The sequence below is a fragment of the Homo sapiens genome, chromosome 5 (genome assembly GCF_000001405.40).
Source record: "Homo sapiens chromosome 5, GRCh38.p14 Primary Assembly".
Lineage (NCBI taxonomy): Eukaryota > Metazoa > Chordata > Mammalia > Primates > Hominidae > Homo > Homo sapiens.
In genome coordinates this window covers 38130410-38148427 of record NC_000005.10, presented here as the reverse complement: position 1 = coordinate 38148427, position 18018 = coordinate 38130410, and the positions used below count along the sequence as shown (strand labels likewise).

Genomic DNA, 18018 nt, shown 5'->3' with positions numbered 1-18018 from the left:
AGATAACACCGAATTGAACAAAGCCACCTTTGAAACGCAACCTTTTAATATCAGGTTGAACAGCTCTTCCTATTTGCCCATCTGCTAACCTTTAAAAGATTCCTCTCATTGCTGATACGGCCAGTTGCCCCAGCCTGCCTTCAATAGTGCACAAAGGGCATCTTTGTTTTCCTCCCAGTGAACTCAGAGGCCAACCCAGGGAACAGTGAAATATCCAGGATGGAAATGAGGTGTCTCCGTGACAGCGGACTCCTTCTTTTGCCCCCATTTATCGAGATCAACATGACTGAGTCACCAGTAGATGAAACCAATGATTGTTTTACTCGGACTTCCCCAGAGTCACCCCCTGAGTCAGTGGGTAAACTGGGGTAAGAACCCAGCCTTGTCCTATGAGGCTGAGCGGGTCTACTATATTTATCCAGGGTCTCATGATTCTTAGTGCTTTTGCTCTGCCCTCTAATTTGCACTGTGCCTGCTATAATATCTAAACGGGAAGTTGCCAGCTAGAATGGTCATTATCCGAGAAATCTATTTAAACATGTTTATAAGGTCAAATGAAGTGGGTGGTGGATAAGCTAGACAGAAAACAAAAGCTTTGGCTCAGCATAGCCAGTGAGGCTAAAGCTAAAGAGAGAAGTGTTTTCATGTTGAATTTGCACATGGTAGAAAAAGGCAGTCTAAGCATAATTATATATAAATGCAGGAATGAGCAGTCAAAATATTAAAACGACCAAATGATTTCTATTTAAGAAGCTGGACAATGGAATTGACTTATGGTAAGTCAAGGGACTGTCTGTTTGAGGCAGCATGCCGGTATAGCAGAGCCCAAGATCAAATTTTGGAAAAGCTCCTAGTGTATCCCAACCAGTGGGAAGAGCTGGGATGATCAAGAAAGATGCCCAGAATCAACCAAAAATGACCTGGGGGAGACTTCACAATGGAATAGTGAATACTATTGAACAAGAGGGAAATAAGGAGGTGAGAAAAACACCTAATATCTCTGGGAGCCCAAGCTGGGATTCTTGTATATTTAAGACTTTGAAGAACAGCTCTCTGTACCAAAGAAATCCACATCTTAGAGTTAGGAGTCAACCATTTCATTATGTGACTGACCTCCAGGCTCTGCCAAGCCATTCTTCAACATCAAAGAGGAGGGAAGAGGGGAAAAGAAACTATTGTCATACGTCACTTAATGGTAGGGATACATTCCTTCTGAAATGCATCATTTGGCGACTTTGTCCTTGTGTGAACATCATAGTGTACTTACACAAACCTAGATGGTATAGCCTACTATACACCTAGGATATAAGGTATAGCCTATTGCTCCTACCCTACAAACCTGTACAGCATGTTACTGTACTCAATATTGTAGGCAATTATAACACAATGGTAAGCATTTTTGAATCTAAACATAGAAAAGATACAGTAAAAATACAGTATAAAACATTAAAACGGGTACCCTTGTATAGGGCACTTACCGTGATTGGAGCTTGCAGGCCTGGAAGATGTTCTGGGTGAGTGAGTGAGTGAGTGGTGAGTGAATGTGAAGGCCTAGGACATTACTGTACACAACCGTAGACTTTATAAACACTGGACACTTAGGCTACACTAAATTTATTTAAAATTTTTTTCTTTCTTCAATAATAAATTACCCTTAGCTTACTGAAACTTTTTTACTTTATAAACTTTTTAATTTTTTTAACTTTTTGACTCTTTTGTAATAACGTTTAGCTTAAAACACGAATACATTGTACAGCTGTACAAAAATATTTTCTTTCTTTATATCTTTACTCTATAAGCTTTTTTCTATTAAATTCTTTTTTACTTTTTAAACTTTTTTGTTAAAAACTAAGACACAAATGCAAACATTAGCCTAGGCCTACACAGGGTCAGGATCATCAATATCACTGTCTTCCACTTCCACATCTTGTCCCACTGGAAGGTCTTCAGAGGCAGTTACACGCGTGAAGCTGTTGTCTCCTACGATAACAATGCCTTCTTCTGGAATACCTCCTAAAGGACCTTCCTGAGGCTGTTTTACAGTTTTTTTTTTAAATAAGTAAAAGGAGTACTCTAAAATAGTGATGAAAATTATGTATAAGTCAGTAACGTTGTTTATTATCATTTTTAAGTATTATGTACATGTACAATGCATAATAGTTGTGCTAGACTTTCTTTTTCTTTTTTTTTTTCTTTTTGAGACAGAGTTTTGCTCTGTCACCCAGGCTGGAGTGCAGTGGCACAGTTGTGGCTCATTGTAGCCTCAAACTTCTGAGCTCAAGTGATCCTCCCATGTTAGTCTCCTGAGTAGCTGGGATTACAGGCACATGCCACTGTTCCCTACTGGTTTTTTCATATGAGACCACCGTCCTACATGTGGACCATCACTGGGCAAAGCATCATTATGCAGTGTGTGACTGTATCTCCTTATTCCTGTTTCTGAGAAACAGGGATATGAGTCGGTGAGGCTTTCGGTGGCAAAGAGAAGTGTAGCATCTGAGAATGCTTCCCACACATTCTGCATGAGCTTGGATGCTAGTTTACAAAGATCAAGCAATTAAATAGATTCTATGCCACTGAAAGAAATCTGGTATGGCTACTGTTGGAAAATTTGATACACGTGTGCATAGAGTCATTAAATCATAGAGAATAGTTAGTGTTTCTTATTTTATTATGAATTAAATTAATTTAATGACCTCCTTTCCAAACAAAATTTACTTAGCAATGTTATTTCTTCCTGGAACTTGATTTGGTATGGTTTGGGCTAGAACTACATACTGTTTGCTCCTGTATCTCTTCTATTCTAGCACAAAAGTAAGCTCTTTTTGTTCCTTTCTTTCTGGCTCTACTATCCAGTGAAAAAGTCACTGACATAAGAAAGAAAAGGAGCAAAGAAAGAGTGGGGAGTACTGGGAAAGGAGTTAGGGAAAATGGGGGCAAGTAGAAAGAAGGAAGGAAGGGAGAGGTTACAGAATGGTCAGAGAGAGAGAGGCAGGGTGAAGATGGATGAAAGCAGCCGTGATATGTTGAAGCAATGGATCTTCCTAGAGTGCTTCTGATCAATACAGGAGCCACCAGCCACGTGTGGCTACTGAACACTTGAAATGTAGCTGGTCTAAATTACAGTGTGCTGTGAGTACAACATACACAGCAGATTTTGAAGATTTTGTACCCAAAACATTTACAAAGTATCTCCTTAACATTTTATATTGATTACATGTTAAAATAATATTTTGGCTATATAGGGTTAAATAACTACATTATTAAAATTTATTTCACCCATATCTTTTTAGGTTCTTAATAGGGCTACTAGAAGAATGAAGATGAGCCATGTGGCTCACGTTATCTTTCTGTTACACAGATGCTTTTCTTGATCTTATGAGAAATGATAGGATTGCATCCCCTTCTTTCCATCATGCCTACCACACACAACTCCAGAGGTCTCAGCCCAAAAGTCAACTTCTAACATAATCATAAGCACTTCAATAGCAATGGCAATACCTGGCATCTCTTTTCTGAGGCCGGCAGCATATATAGCAGCTTCTAGTCCTCAGGATCTAGGGGGACATGTAGGGACGTCAGGAAGCACAGTGCTCAGACACCGCCTTGGGCATTTCTGACTGAGGGCGTGCCCAGCTGTCCCTCCCATCTCTCGACCCCTGCCTCAGGGGCTCTTCGCACCTTGGGAGAGTTTTCCTCCCCATAGCCCCTTGTCACAGCATTCTCCCATCCAGCCTCCAGCTACCCTTTTAAGAAATGACCTTTTATTTTTCCCCCAATCGTAGGTACTTTCAGTCTAGTTTTGGGTTAATCATGAACATATTTTACAATTCAGAGAACACAGTACAGTACATCAGAGGAACATCGGCCCAGCCTAGAGTAGGTTTAGGTAACTATGAACCTTTGATGATTTTATAGCAAAGCTCAGGATAATGGAAGGCTCTAGGCAGAAAGGAAATAGAGAAAGAGGAAGGAGGTAGAAATGTAGAGCAGATGCAACTCAAAGACTTTTGGAAGGAGGTGGGCAACTTTCAACTCATTACTAAGATTTATTGAGTGTGTCCTCCCTCTCGAATGTTCCTATATGCCACAAACAGCTGGAGGCTGTCCCTAGTGGTGCTGCTACCACAGATTGCTCTTCCCTGTTTTTATGGTGCCCAGACTCACAGCAGAACTCAAATAGATTTGCAATGTGAATATGAATATTGGAATGGAAGTTCTTCACGGCTGCTGGAGAAGTAGCACAAGTCATATGCCTCACCCAGGACAAGGCAGGAGCCCCATATTGTTCTGGAAGAACTACTCATCAGCCAGAATGCTCATCCTTTGCACTGGGCACCTTCTACCCATATGGTGCCTTCCATGTGGAAGCAGTGAAGGCTTGGTTTAAAAAAAAAAAAAACACTTCATCTCATTCCCAAAGTACAGCCAACTCACCCAAGAGTTCAGATGAGCCAACGATTTATGTTGCAACTTAACCATTTCCACTGCAACACAGATAATTCCATATCTGAGCTTAACTTTAGCAAGGCTATATTGCCTCCTGGGGTGGCTGGGCCAAATAGAGGAGGATGACTCTAGATTGCTTAGCTTGCATATCAAGGACATATTCCCCTCGGAGCCCTTTGCTGTCTCTAAGAATTGGCTAGCCCAGAGAGAGGCAGTCTCTCCCCAGGCAGAAAGGGTTTTTAAGATGCAAAAAACATAATATAGAGAAAATAACATATATAATGTAGATATATACACACTCACACACAGTACACTGGTGCACAGTGGGGCTTGATGGAAGCTTGGTCTACGTGACTGGCCTGAATACATGTATGCGTATGGAGGAATGATGAGTAGGGAAAGGAGGGAGTCTCCAAGTATTAGCAATTCCCACGTTGCTCTTTAGGAGAGAGTGGGGAACACCCAAACAGTGATGTTTAGCAACTGTCTGCCCACTGAGCTCTTCTTTATCTTCTATGGGAAAGGCTAACTTGAAAATAAACACTTTTGAGTTTGTTTGTTTGTTTCTAACATTGTTGACTGTTCCCTCAAAAATGTAGACTGGCTAAAAATATAAATAGATTTAAGCAGGTTTGAGATATATTCAGATGGATCCATCCGTAGCAAGATGTTCATTTCCAGAGGTGTTGAGGACACTGTCCTTGTCTTTAGTTTGCCATGATATTGGGGCAGACCAGCTGGTCACCTGCCCCTCTTTCTCACAGACTTTAACATTGTTGGGAGGTGTAATGTGTCCCGCTAAAAGCCAGCACCTTCTGCAGACAGAGTTCGGACCCACAAAATGTGAGCAGAAGTTTTGTGGGTGGGCCTTACAGAAGGGCAGACCTAGCAGGCCTGCATCATTTCCCTCTTTGCTCTTCCCAGATTTTCCCAGGTACCTTGGCCTTGGTATCTGTAAGCCACTGAGGCAAAACCATTAGCCATTGATCTCTGGACTTTTGGAAAGGTGAGAAAAATAAAAACCCTAATTCGCGTAATCCACTGTTTGGGGCTTTTGTTACTTGTAGCTGAACACATTTCCTGATACAGCTCAGGAAGATTGTCCGTGCTTTTCATAAACATCTCTGCGGCCATGACTAGTGACAAAATACAGACTTATTTCTCTGGCAATTTGCTGGACCAAATGAAAATTCGACTCTGCATCTTAGAAAAAAAGCAAAATGAACTACCTTTGTCTGTGATTTTCCTTCAAGTCTTTAAAGTAACCCATTACACTCTTCTTATTTTGAATGTTACTTACATTGAATTTTATTTAACAGGAATAACATTGCTCATGAAAATCACACAACAATTTCTTTTTTCTTTTTCTTTTTTTCTTTTTTTTTTTGATTTGGAGTCTTGCTCTGTCACCCAGGCTGGAGTGTAGTGGTGCGATCTCGGCTCACTGCAACCTCTGCCTCCTGAGTTCAAGTGATTCTCCTGCTTCAGCATCCCAAGTAGCTGGGACTACAGGCGCCCACCACCACGACTGGCTAATTTTTTGTATTTTTAATAGAGACAGAGTTTCGCCATGTTGCCCAGGCTGGTTTCGAATTCCCGAGCTCAGGCATCTGCCTGCCTCGGCCTCCCAAAGTACTGGGATTACAGGCATGAGCCACTGCACTCAGCCAACAATTTCTTACATAAATCCAGGCATAAGGAAAACCTTCAGATGTCCTATGGCTTTAGATAATATAAAGTACCTATCCTTATAAAATCATATAAGTTATTTCAACATCAATTTGGGGCTCAAAATGGGCCACTGCAATGGGCTATTTCAGGAAATATCTCTTGCCAAATTAACTTTCAGAAAGTTTCTAGGCCAAAAGGCTATGCGTAGCTAATGTGGGAACAACCAAGACCACCATTTATCCCATCAACCAGCTGGACTACTCAGCCTGGATGGTCAGCTGAGGGCAATGAAACCCACCAGTGTCCTTTAGGGCCCCTATAAATCAACCTCAGGTAGAATCACTCCTTAATGTGAAGGTCTCCAATAGAGATCAACTTCTTCCCTCCTCCTGGGCAGTTGAGGTCATTCTTATCAGCATGTTCACAAACAGTTTCAAGGTACTTCTGAAAATGATGTCATGCAATTTAGAGAGGTATTAAATTCATCTCCCCAGACACTGAGCAAGATTTGATTCCAGGTCTAATTCTAAAATGGAGGAAAAGAATTTTAACCTTACATTTAGCCATCTACACGGCATCTCAGCAATGGAAATGAATAAATTTTCCACTAAATTTACCACATGTAGAAAATTCAACCACTGCTTCTTTCTATAAACTGTCTTCAAAGACCCAACACCACTTTTCCTCTCCTAATTGCTATTATGAGGCAATAAATCTCTCTTATATGGAAATAATACAAATATAACTATATGGCATATGTAGGCCACGTGTTCTAGCAAATCCATTAAAAATGTTTCATTTGTGTTTTGATGAAAGGCACAACAATCTTCCAAGGACACTAATCATTAATTCTGGGAACATAGGATTAATATGTGACTTAGCTCAGTACTGGAATAGTTAGTAAATATCTATCTAAGAAACATTCATTTAACAGCTATTTAGTGAGCAGCTACAATGCTAGAATTTGTATCCTTCCTGGCTAGAGTGGCATTTGTGTGTAATAATGTGAGTGATATCCAAATGGCATTTAAAAAAACGTGTCATAGTTAAGGTTTCCTAAAATAAAATACTTAAGAAAAATTATCCTACCAAGAAGGATATTTTAACAAAAAAAGAACAATCCATTATTTTCCCTTTTACAATGTCTGTGAGATTTTCATTGAGGCTTGTTAAGCTGAAGATAATAAATACCCACCACAACTAGCTTAAGCAAATGTGTGAATCTCAGGCCAGGAAGTTTAACTGCGCCTCACAAAGAATTAGACTAGAAACTGTAAAGCTGTCAGAACCCGTCAGTTTCCCCATCTCTCTAGGAGCTCACAGCTTCTTGCTTCTGCTTTCGCCTGCACATCTGTATCCTATTTTTTCTTTCCTGATTACGCCTCTCTGCTCCTCCAAGCATATGACTACCAAAGGCCCAATTGTGCATTACAGTCTGGCTCAAAACTTCAGCAAGATCTGGCCAATATCTTAGATTCCTGATTCTGCATTCTGAGTCAAAAAGATTTGATTGGTTCAGCCTGGGCTGGATGTCCACCAGAGGTCCAACCAGCTTTGACTGTGAGGGAGAAGTTACACCATAAAGATGGCACAGAAGCCCACCCTAAGGATGAGGAGAGGAGGCATTCTCAGAGGATGGGGTGTGTAGGCACCTCCAAGTTTTTTCTTCACTTAAACTGAAGAGAAAACATTTTTAGTTGTGAGCTTTAATATAAAGAGAACAGTCTAGTCCTAAACCTCACTCAACTTTGCAGAAAATCTATCAGTGCAAATGCATTTATCTCTCCTAGTTGGAAGCAAAGTTGCAGTTCATTCTGAGTCCTGCTTGGTCCTCTAAGGCAAACTAGCATCAATGAGCATGACAGGAGTATCTATCTGGCTTTTTCTTTTTAAGGATGTATCGGTCTTAGCTGCATTCAATTTAATTGCATGTGCTTTCTATCTGGAAGTCCCTTTGTGTATTTCTAAAGTTCTTCAGCCTGATTTCGCTCCTAAGACACATCACCCCACATAGTTATGGGTGCCTTTGACACAATTTAGATGATTGCCTTGCCTTGGAAATCTGTCATTGCTGCCATAATGTCACAGAATCCTAGAAACATTGTCTCAATTCAAGTCAAAACCAAGCACATCTAAATCTTCCCACCTTCCCCTGTTCGTCAGCAATCTACATCTATTTCCAGTTTTCCAGTATCATTCTTTGAAATCAGCTTGCTCCTTCTCTCAACACCTTTCCTGTGGCTGATTTAAGAAACTCTCATATTGGTGATGTAGCAACATAATTTCACTTGAAGCCTTCTTCTTCCTATTTAGGAAATCATTTTACCTTTACTTTGAAGGTAAAATCAAACTTTTACCCTCAATACTCCAATCCTTACACACTAATCTAATTTAAAAATTACAAAGTGATGAATATTTAAAAGATATGTGGACACAGTGTATTAAATATAGCTTCCCTCCTGGACATGAAAAAAATGATTTAACTCTTCTATTCTCATCAGACAGTATTTTTCAGACTAGGTCAATATGTGTCCACTCTAAAGATGTGACTTCACTTAGGATTTCAGTTTTTCTGAGAGGAGATAATAACCTTCTCAGAATAAAATTGACTTTGCATGTGTTTGTTAAAAATACTATTTCCCTAGACAGTTTTTTCAAAACACACCCACAAAGATTATCTTATTTTATCCTTATAACAATTTTATGAATGAAGCAATACTAAGGGGAAAATGTTATCTATCCCATTTTAAAGACGAGCAAACCAAGATCTGAAATAAATAACTCTGTGACTTGGTCACAACCTTCCAAAGAAGCCTTGCCCTGATCTGTAGGATGAAGGTATCAAACCATGAGCTCCCTAACATCCCATTCAGCAATAATATTTCATTTTTAATCAATCAAATTAAAATAAAATGTTGTCAGCAAAAGTCACAGTCTGGCAATAAGGCTGAGGCTAAGAAGTTAGACTCTTCTTTCAGGTTCTTCGAAAAGGAGTAGGGAAACATCATGAGATGGAACAAAAATAGGTTGTTACAACTCGAGTATGAAGTTGCTGAATTAGAGGTTCCATGTCTAAGGTTATGACAATACCCAGAGTGAATTATAGAAGACAGTGTAAATAATTCTAAAGGTGAAGCTCAACTTTCATTGGCAGAGTCTTAGCAACAAGTGGAATATTTGAAGCAGAACAAAAAAAAAAGTTTATCTTTCAAGCTGTAAAATGATCATGTTGAAAAATTCCATCCATTTTCCAGCCAACTGACCCAAATAAAGTTACAAATGCAGGTGGACAAGGAGCAATTTTTCAAAATGAAAAGGTTTTTATACAAGAAATGTAGTTTTCACAAAGATCCTCTTTGGATCATGGCTTGTTGCCTGTGCCAGATTTAGCTAACATGTCAGAGGCGAAAGTCTCTAAGCTCGGCATGGAACTGTTGAAACTTTGCCCTAAAGTGTATGCTTAAGCTACAGAGGGTGCTTACCCTCAGGGACGCTGAGGTCCAAGCACTCAGAGACATTGAGCCTCTCAGTACAGGAAACCTGTCACCAGATAACTCACTCTCCTAGACCAGCTGTGAACTTGGCATTGCTTGGCAGGATCTTTAACCATCATTAAATAAAAACCTTGCACCAAGGTTTTAGAGCTGCCCCCAGGAGCGGCTCTACCTCAAATCGACACTTGCAATTTAAAGGATCTGCCCTTGTGATTTTTTTACTTTGGGCTTACAATTGAGATGACTATTTCTTTTCTACCTATGGTGTCTTTTTAAAAAAGTAGCTTTACTTTATTTCATTTAAAGTAATTTTATACATTATAAAATTCACCCATTTAAAGTATAATATAAAATTAAATGTTTTTTTAGTATGTTCAGAGTTACACAGCCATCACCATCATCTATTATTAGAACATTTTCATCACCCCCCAAAGAAATGTACCATTAATAATCACTCTCCATCCCCACCAATCACAGCCCTAAGCAACTACTAATCTACTTTCTGTCTCTATAGATTTGCTTATTCTGGACATTTCATAGAAATAGAACCATAGAACAGAAGGTCTTTTGTGATTGGCTTTTAAAATTAGCGTAATGTTTTCAAGGTTTCTCCATCTTGTAGCATAGATCAGTACTTCATTCCTTTTTATTGCCAAATAATATTCCATGGTACAGTATATCACATCTTGTTTGTCCATCCATCACTTGGCGGTCATTTGGGTTGTTTTGACTTTAGGGCTAGTATGAATAATGCTGCTATGAATATTCACATACAAGGCTTTGTGTGGACATACCTTTTCATCTATCTTGGGTAGACATCTCGGAGTAGAATTTCTGGGTTATGTGGTAAATCTGCGATTATCATTTTAAGGACCTGCCAGGCTGTTTTCCATGCCACCCACACTGTTTTACATTCCCATCAGTGATATATGAAGGCTCCAATTTCTCCACCTCCTCAAAAACACTTGTCACTGTCTGTATCGCCCATGAGATGTTAATACAAATGGCAGGTCTTGACCAGTTGCTTCTTCATCACAGTTTCAGTAGATCTGGAAGATGACCATTCATCTCTTTGATGTCCTCTCTTCGGGAGATTTTAAATGCCTGTTTTGTACACTCCAGGCAGATAACCCCAAACATACCTTGAAAAAATAGTCTGTCATTTTTGCATGATGTGATAATATTTCATTTCATCCATGTAGCCAGGTTTTAACCACTTACTACCTGTTTGGTCTCCTCTCTAGAGTCCCAGGATTCATAGATCCAAGTGCAGAGATAATAGCAGTTCAGCCAAAAGAATTTCAGACTTCTCCAAAGTGGCAATTAACACAGGAACTCAGGATGTCATAACTACTTATCATTTTGATAATAATACTACCTGGTAATTATTTATTTTTAACCAGGATGTAATCCAAAGACTGTAAAGCCTCATTTCTCAAAATGATGTCTATGAGCCACCTGCATCAGAATCACCTGGGTGAGGGAGTGGCTTGCTAATTATCGAGACACCCTGCCCACGTCAAAGCCACCATATTGGAACGTCTAGGAATGGAATAAAGGAATATGCATGTATAATGAGGGACAAGGTGAGTGTGCTGTGCTGCGACACATGAGAATCTCTGCTGTCAAGCCTGAAGTATGTGTCTGAGCCTTTTCTGAAGAAAAGAGTGGGAGAGCTCAGGGATATATGCCCCAGAGGTTGCTTACATGCATATCCCAGCTACGGCAGTAAGGGAGGCCAATTAGGGAAACAGCCTAGCAAGGAAGAAACAACAATTTTGTAGAGAATAGGCAGCAGTTCTCCTACTCTCCTAGAGGCAAGAACCCTGAACTTATTTGAAATGGGTCAGGGTATACACACCAGGCCTAGTTTAAGGTGTGAACCTGTTGTGCTCATTATATTGAGCTGAGCCCCTACAAGAGGACTTGAACTGTGGCTCTTTGGGTGAATGAAAATGAAAGATCCACCATGTGACACTGGGACTTGGGTGGAGAAGCCAAGGGGAAGACCGAGATGCTGGCTGATTCTACCCGGCAGGGTTGGGAAGAACCATGAGTGCTGTCCCCCCAGCTTAGCTCCTCTGGGGCCATGGAGGCAAAGGCAGGTACTGCGGTGCTGACCACCTCTGACTTGGTGAACCCCAAGGGACGGTATTAGGTGGCTCCTCCTGGAGAGGGAACTCTGGGAAGGGCCACAGTTGGGGGAAGAAGCCAGCTGGGCAGCTGTTTCCAGGAGGGCAAAGTCTCCAAAGCCCAGAGCCAACAGTGGTGGCAGCAGCAATAGGAGGATGGTTATTTCTCATGTTGAAGAAGGAGCAAATTCCTTTCTCTGAATCCCACCTAAGTGATCAAAATCCCATCCCAGCAGCTGCAGCCGAGGGTGGGTTCTGAGTCCCCAGAGGGAAGAGGAGACAGTGAGGCAACTCTGAGCTAAAATCCCACAGATGGACCGCACTTTAGCTCATAAAGGCAAGTCCTCAAAGGATCCTAAATGGACAGAGTCAAGAGTTGGAAGCCTGGATTGAAACAAAGGAAGCAGATCCCAGTGATGACTATGACACCTAATCAGTGTGCACCTCCTTCCATCGGCGGGGAGGCGAGGCCGCAGAGTGAGGGCTAAGAGTATAGCCAGGGTGGGGAGATTAAGCCTGGAGGTGCTTCTGGGGCTGGTCCCTGTCAGGGGCTTGCTTGGGAAGACAGACACTCAGGACTGAGTTTTTCCCAGGCTTGGCATTTTCTACCCAAGGTGTGAGTCTGAGCCTTTCCAGTTTTCTCTGGAAGGAGCTGGAAAAGACACCTGAGGGGTAGGAAAGGAGTTCTCAAACTGTTGATCGCTGGGGTTGTGAATCACAGAAGAGCCGGCTTGGGTGACTGCCTGCCTTTTGAACGCTCCACTGGGGTTGTGGGTGTAAATCTAGTGAGTTTATTATTTGCAAGATCTTGAACACTCTCAGTACATAATGAACACACACACTCAGACGCCCACCTATAAACACACACCAGTAATCAGATACCACAAACCACATAGATTGCCAAAGCTCCTCTAGAGAGAAGAGTTGATACCGATCCCTTTGAATCAGACCTGAGAGGATCATTTTTCAGCAAGAGACAAAGGGAGGAAGGCTGCATTGTCTCAGCAATGCTGGTGAGGGTTCGGATACCAAAACTATCTGGGCTGGAAACCTTGAGCGATCAGGTTCCCTAACCAAACTCGAAGTATTTCCTGGTCTGAGCTGGCCCTAAAATGCCAGAAGTGCCCTGGAGCTCCTGTTATTTTGGTATTTCCAGCAATTAGTGGTGTTGAAAAATCCGTAGAGGGAAAAGAAAACGTAGGCAGTGATTTCATGAAAGAAAAAAACAAACAAACAAATGCCTATGCAAGGGTGAGAAGGTAAGCCATATTTTTACTTTAATTTGAGGAAAATGTTCAATTCTACGTTTTATCTGCTCCAGATCGCTTGCTGGTATGTGGGACAATGACGGAAAGACTGGTATCTGTCGAGTCAAGTTGTGGATCTAAGTTTTATCCTCTGTCAGTTAGGTATTTCAAGTTTTCAGACAGACTTAAAGTCATTAGTTGGGAATCTTAATGCAAGCAGAGGCTTTCAAAGAGGCCTCTTCCTGGTGCTGCTGAGAAGGCTGAGCGAGGACATACTCAGGCGGTGACCAAGTGCTGATAACTGGAGAGGGGTGAATTTATGAAGTGAGCAGCTCATCAAAAACACAAGTCGCTCAGAATTCATCGAAGCAGGTGCGAAATGACCGGGTTTCAACAGCTGAGGTAGGATGATACTTTGTAATAAGAGAAGCCATTTCTGGGACAGGGTCGAGTGAGACCAAGATTAATCAGGGCAGGCTGCGATGAGGCCAGCGTGCCGGAGCTCGGTTAACCCACGCGGAGATGACAAGCCGGCAGCTCAGCAAGGAATGCAGGCAGAGGGCAGCCACGGGAGGCCCACGCGGACCCCAAGGGCCTCGGGAATGGCTAAAACAGAGTCGCACCCCAGCATCAGGAGGCAACGCGTGCAATGTGTAGCACACTGCAGGCTTTCATTGTATTCCATAAATGAAATATTTATATACGATCGATTTATTAAAATATTTATGTTTTCCATTGAAAATACAGTTTTCAACATTTTGCAAACCAAAAATATCAGCAGACATGGAGGAGACTTTACTAATGATTTTCTGCCTCTTTCTTTCAAACGCTTGAAAAGTCAGTAATGATCCTGTTTGTCTCCTGTTTCAAATTTTTGGTTTCCTTAAAAGGCATTCAGAATGAAATGCAGACTCCTCTTCCTCTTCCTCCTCCTCCTCTTCTTCCTCCTCTTCCTCCTCTTCCTCCTCTTCCTCCTCCTCCTCTTCTTCTTCTTCTTCTTCTTGTTCTTCTTCTTCTTCTTCTTCTTCTTCTTCTTCTTCTTCTTCTTCTTCTTCTTCTTCTTCTTCTTCTTCTTCTTCTTCTTCTTCTTCTTCTTCTTTCTTCTTCTTCTTCTTCCTTTTTAGAAGTGCACCAACCCAACAAGGCAGGTACATTTTATTGATTGTACTTTTTGGAGTTGAGTTAGAAAAACAAAAAACATTATCTTAGGGTACATGTTCTCGGGCCAAGAGCTTGGCGAATAGGACAGCCTTTCCCAGGGACTGCCAACACCAGAGCAGCTCGGAAATGTCTGCATCTTTGAAAGAAGGGATGCACGCATTCCACAGCTGGCCCCATGAGAAGGGTACTTGGCCAAGAAGTCCCCCTGCAGAGCCACACTCTAGAGAAACGACATCACTGAGCTGAGTGAATGTCAGTGCCAGCCTCCAGCACTGTTGAGATTGTTTGCGTTGTGTTTTTAATAAAGAGAAATGGTGTGAAATTCTATGGAGGAAAGAAAATTTTCCAGGTTAACTCAACTTGGGTGGTGTTCCTGAAGACCAGACATTCAAAGCAGTGCTGTTTTATTCTTCATGTTTTTCTTTGACTCTGCTTTGAGAGGTCAGAGTGTCAGACAATACCAGCTACATAATTTGCAGATCCCAGTGAAAAATGAAAATGCAAGTCTCCTTGTTCAAAAATTATTAAAACTTTTGGCCAGGCGTGGTGGCTTACACCTGTAATCCCAGCACTTTGGCCAAGGCAGGTGGATCACCTGAAGTCAGGAGTTCTAGACCAGCCTGGACAACATGGTGAAACCCTGTCTCTACTAAAACTACAAGAAAACTAGCCACGTATGGTGGCACACGCCTGTAATCCCAGCTACTCAGGAGGCTGAGGCAGGAGAATCACTTGAACCCAGGAGTTGCAGGTTGCAGTGGGCTGAGATTGCAGCATTGTACCCCAGCCTAGGCAACAAGAGCAAAACTCCGTCTCAAAAAAAAAAAAAAAATTATTAAGACTTTTAACATGGTAACAACAGGGCATCTGCCAAGAGTGGGGCTCTTTGGAGCTTCACCTCCTGGCTTCAGGGACGCCTCTACCCTCAAATACAAAGCCTAAAGGTTATGAGGCCCCTACTTCTTCCTCCGACAAGGCAGTGCTGTGCAGGTAACTCTTTGAGCTCTGCCAACTTGCTGGAGGTTTCTCTCTTTAGCCTTTGCCAGACCAGTCAAGGAAACTGTGAGTTCTCACTGCAAAAGCTGCAAGGCTAGGGCAGCTTACTGAGCAGAGGCCATAGAAAAGACCAGGTTTTTTCGATTTTATTTCCTAAAAATAACATTTGTCATGGGATCTTTTTCTGACTATAAAAATAATACATGTTTATTGAAGAAATGCAAAAAAAAAAAAGCAGAAAGAAAACAAATCACCAATAATTCACATTTGTCATGGGATCTTTTTCTGACTATAAAAATAATACATGTTTATTGAAGAAACGCAAAAAAAAAAGCAGAAAGAAAACAAATCACCAATAATTCCACCGCATGGACATAACCACTGGTCACATACTGTTATATATCCTCATTTTTTCTACACATGTTTTATATATATGTGTATACATATAAATTTTCCAAAATGGGATTATACTATATGATATTGTTTCCAAAACTTTTTCAACTTAATATTTTAATATTTCTCTTTGTCATCAAATATTCTTTAACTGCCTCATTTTTAGGGGTCAGAGAGTGGTCATATGTACATACATACAAATATGGAGAGAGAATGTATTTTTTGCAGTGCATTTAACATACATACATGTGTAATTTATATTAATATTCTCATATATACACATATATGTATATACACAGACGAAAATATATTTACAGTAGATTGTATGAATTTGGTCGTTACTCACAAATACACCATTGTCTATGTCTGGCCACACTAGTCAATGTTTGCTCACTTTGCAGCATTTAAAAGTGAGGAGTTGACTTCACATGTACTCCTGAACCTAAAATAAAAGTTAAAAAAAGGAGGAGTTGAACTGATTTTTTTTTAAATCACAAACCAAAAAAAAAAAAAAAAAAAGAAATCAGGGCACCTCTGTCCTCTGAAACAATTGGCACATTTTGTCCAATAATTAGTTCACTGAGTGCAATCCTGTTGGGTCTAAGCAGTAAATGGCATTTCTTGATTTTCACAGGTGATGATTCATTTGGAATCAACAAATGTTCATGGAGCGGATAACCAGTGATATTCCTGCTCTTCAAATGGGAGCATTTCCTCATTCCGTCACGCAGGCGGGGGTGGCCAAGAGCCTCCAGATTAAAAAGAATAATACTAATAACACACCAAAATGTTTCAATGCATGAAGGGGTGTTTCAGAAGTGGCTTTTCATTTCAACATTCTTTCAACAGTTCCGTCAACTTCTTATAAAATTGAGAGTAAATACTTTTTAAAGGGGTGTGTGTGTGTGTGTGCTGGTATTTTGGTGTGATTTGTATTGTGTTATTGAAATATGCTACCCTGGAAAATGCTCAGCTATAAATGCCATTCCTTATAAACATGAGCTGGGCTGCTGATGCATGGCTTTGCAGTTCTCTTTGAACTGCAGTTTTGCTGCTCTCTACGGCCTTCTTGCCACAGAGCAAATGTCTGGGAATAAGAAATGGAGAGGCAAAGGTCATGAAGTGATAGTGGAAAGAATCGGCATCTCTCCCGGTAGGCAGGACTGGCTGACATGGATCTACACTTCCCTTGTGCCAGGGCTTGTGCTCGGTGCTGTCATGCAGCTTCTCTCATTAACCCCCAGCAGCTCTTTCAAGTATGACTAGCCCAGTTATTAGAAGGAAATGGAGAATCAGACCACTCAAGTGTCTTGTCTAAAGTCACATCACTATTAGATCCCAAAACTTAAATGGGATCAGATCTTCTCATTCTGCAGGCAACATTGCTTTTCCAACTAATCTGTCCCGCCTCCTTGGAGGGACGGGAATAAGGACCTGCCCTGTCCTATTTCTATGGAGTATTCTGAGGGCGGTTCTGGCACATGGCAGTACCTGGTAGCTTTCAGAATGACTTTTCAGTCTCCACACTTGACAGCATTAGCTAGTGACTGGCTCATGTGTATTCCTTTAAAGATCATAACCTTGGTTAGACAACCCCAGAGGAACAAGCCAGCATTTTCCTAGTGATCTTAACAGTGGCCTAAACTTTTGGATCTTCTCTAAGAGTCGAAGAAAGAAAAAGTGTGTTTGTATGTGTGTGCGTGCACTCATGTGTTTGTGTGTGTACAACAGACATGAAGCAGTCGGGAGTAGGAGCTGGGACACAGGAGGAACAAGCACCTCTGGAACTTCACTCAGTAACATAAGAAAGCTGAAGTGGGCCCACCCGGTGCCGTGGACCCTGCCTGACTTCCTTCCATGGCTCCGTTGCCATGTGCATATCCACATTCATCCCACACCTTTCATTCCACACATATGCACCAATGCAAAAATCTCATGATTTTCTGCAGGGCTATCATGGCTACTCTAAGGGGTCTAAAATGCTTTCTGGGTCAGATTATTTCTAGAGAACAAACTCCTGCTTCCATCAGGCCAGGAGAGGCTGCTAGGTCAGGCAGTGTCTGAGCACAACTCCTCAAGGGAAGGGATTGCTCTCTGATCACCCTCCCTCCACTACAATACACACACACCCAAATACACAATAGGGTTTCCCCCTTGCAGCCAGGTATATCGTTTACTCAAAGAGGAAACCATTAGGAACTTATGAGACAAGCTGGGCCAAGGAAATGCTCATGTCACATGGTCCCACTGCAGTGCTAGTGAGGAAAAGACCTGGAAAATGCACCAAACGCCTGTCACGGACGAACAGCCATGAACTGTGAGGGGAGCTTATACCCCTTCAATGACTGTGGGCCTCTACACTCATCCCACCTGACTCTGACCCTCAGAGCTCAGAAATGCTTGTTAAACAACTAAGTGCTCTGACTTATGCGACAGCATCACCTGGGAACTTGTTAGAAATGCAGAACCTCACAC

At 41.5% G+C, this 18018-nt stretch overlaps 1 long non-coding RNA gene across 1 annotated transcript in view, besides 1 other annotated feature; it reads right to left on the bottom strand.

Annotated features, from left to right (window-relative positions):
- Nucleotides 1-18018, bottom strand: part of LINC02107 (long intergenic non-protein coding RNA 2107) — a 158236-nt gene that overhangs the window by 35505 nt on the left and 104713 nt on the right. The window lies entirely within an intron of this gene.
- Nucleotides 67-361: a silencer, noted in NCBI's record as "tiled region #2046; K562 Repressive non-DNase unmatched - State 24:Quies". NCBI's record gives its function as "represses a minimal TATA promoter and a strong SV40 promoter by Sharpr-MPRA in K562 cells {active_cell/tissue: K562}" and the evidence as "EXISTENCE:reporter gene assay evidence [ECO:0000049][PMID:27701403]".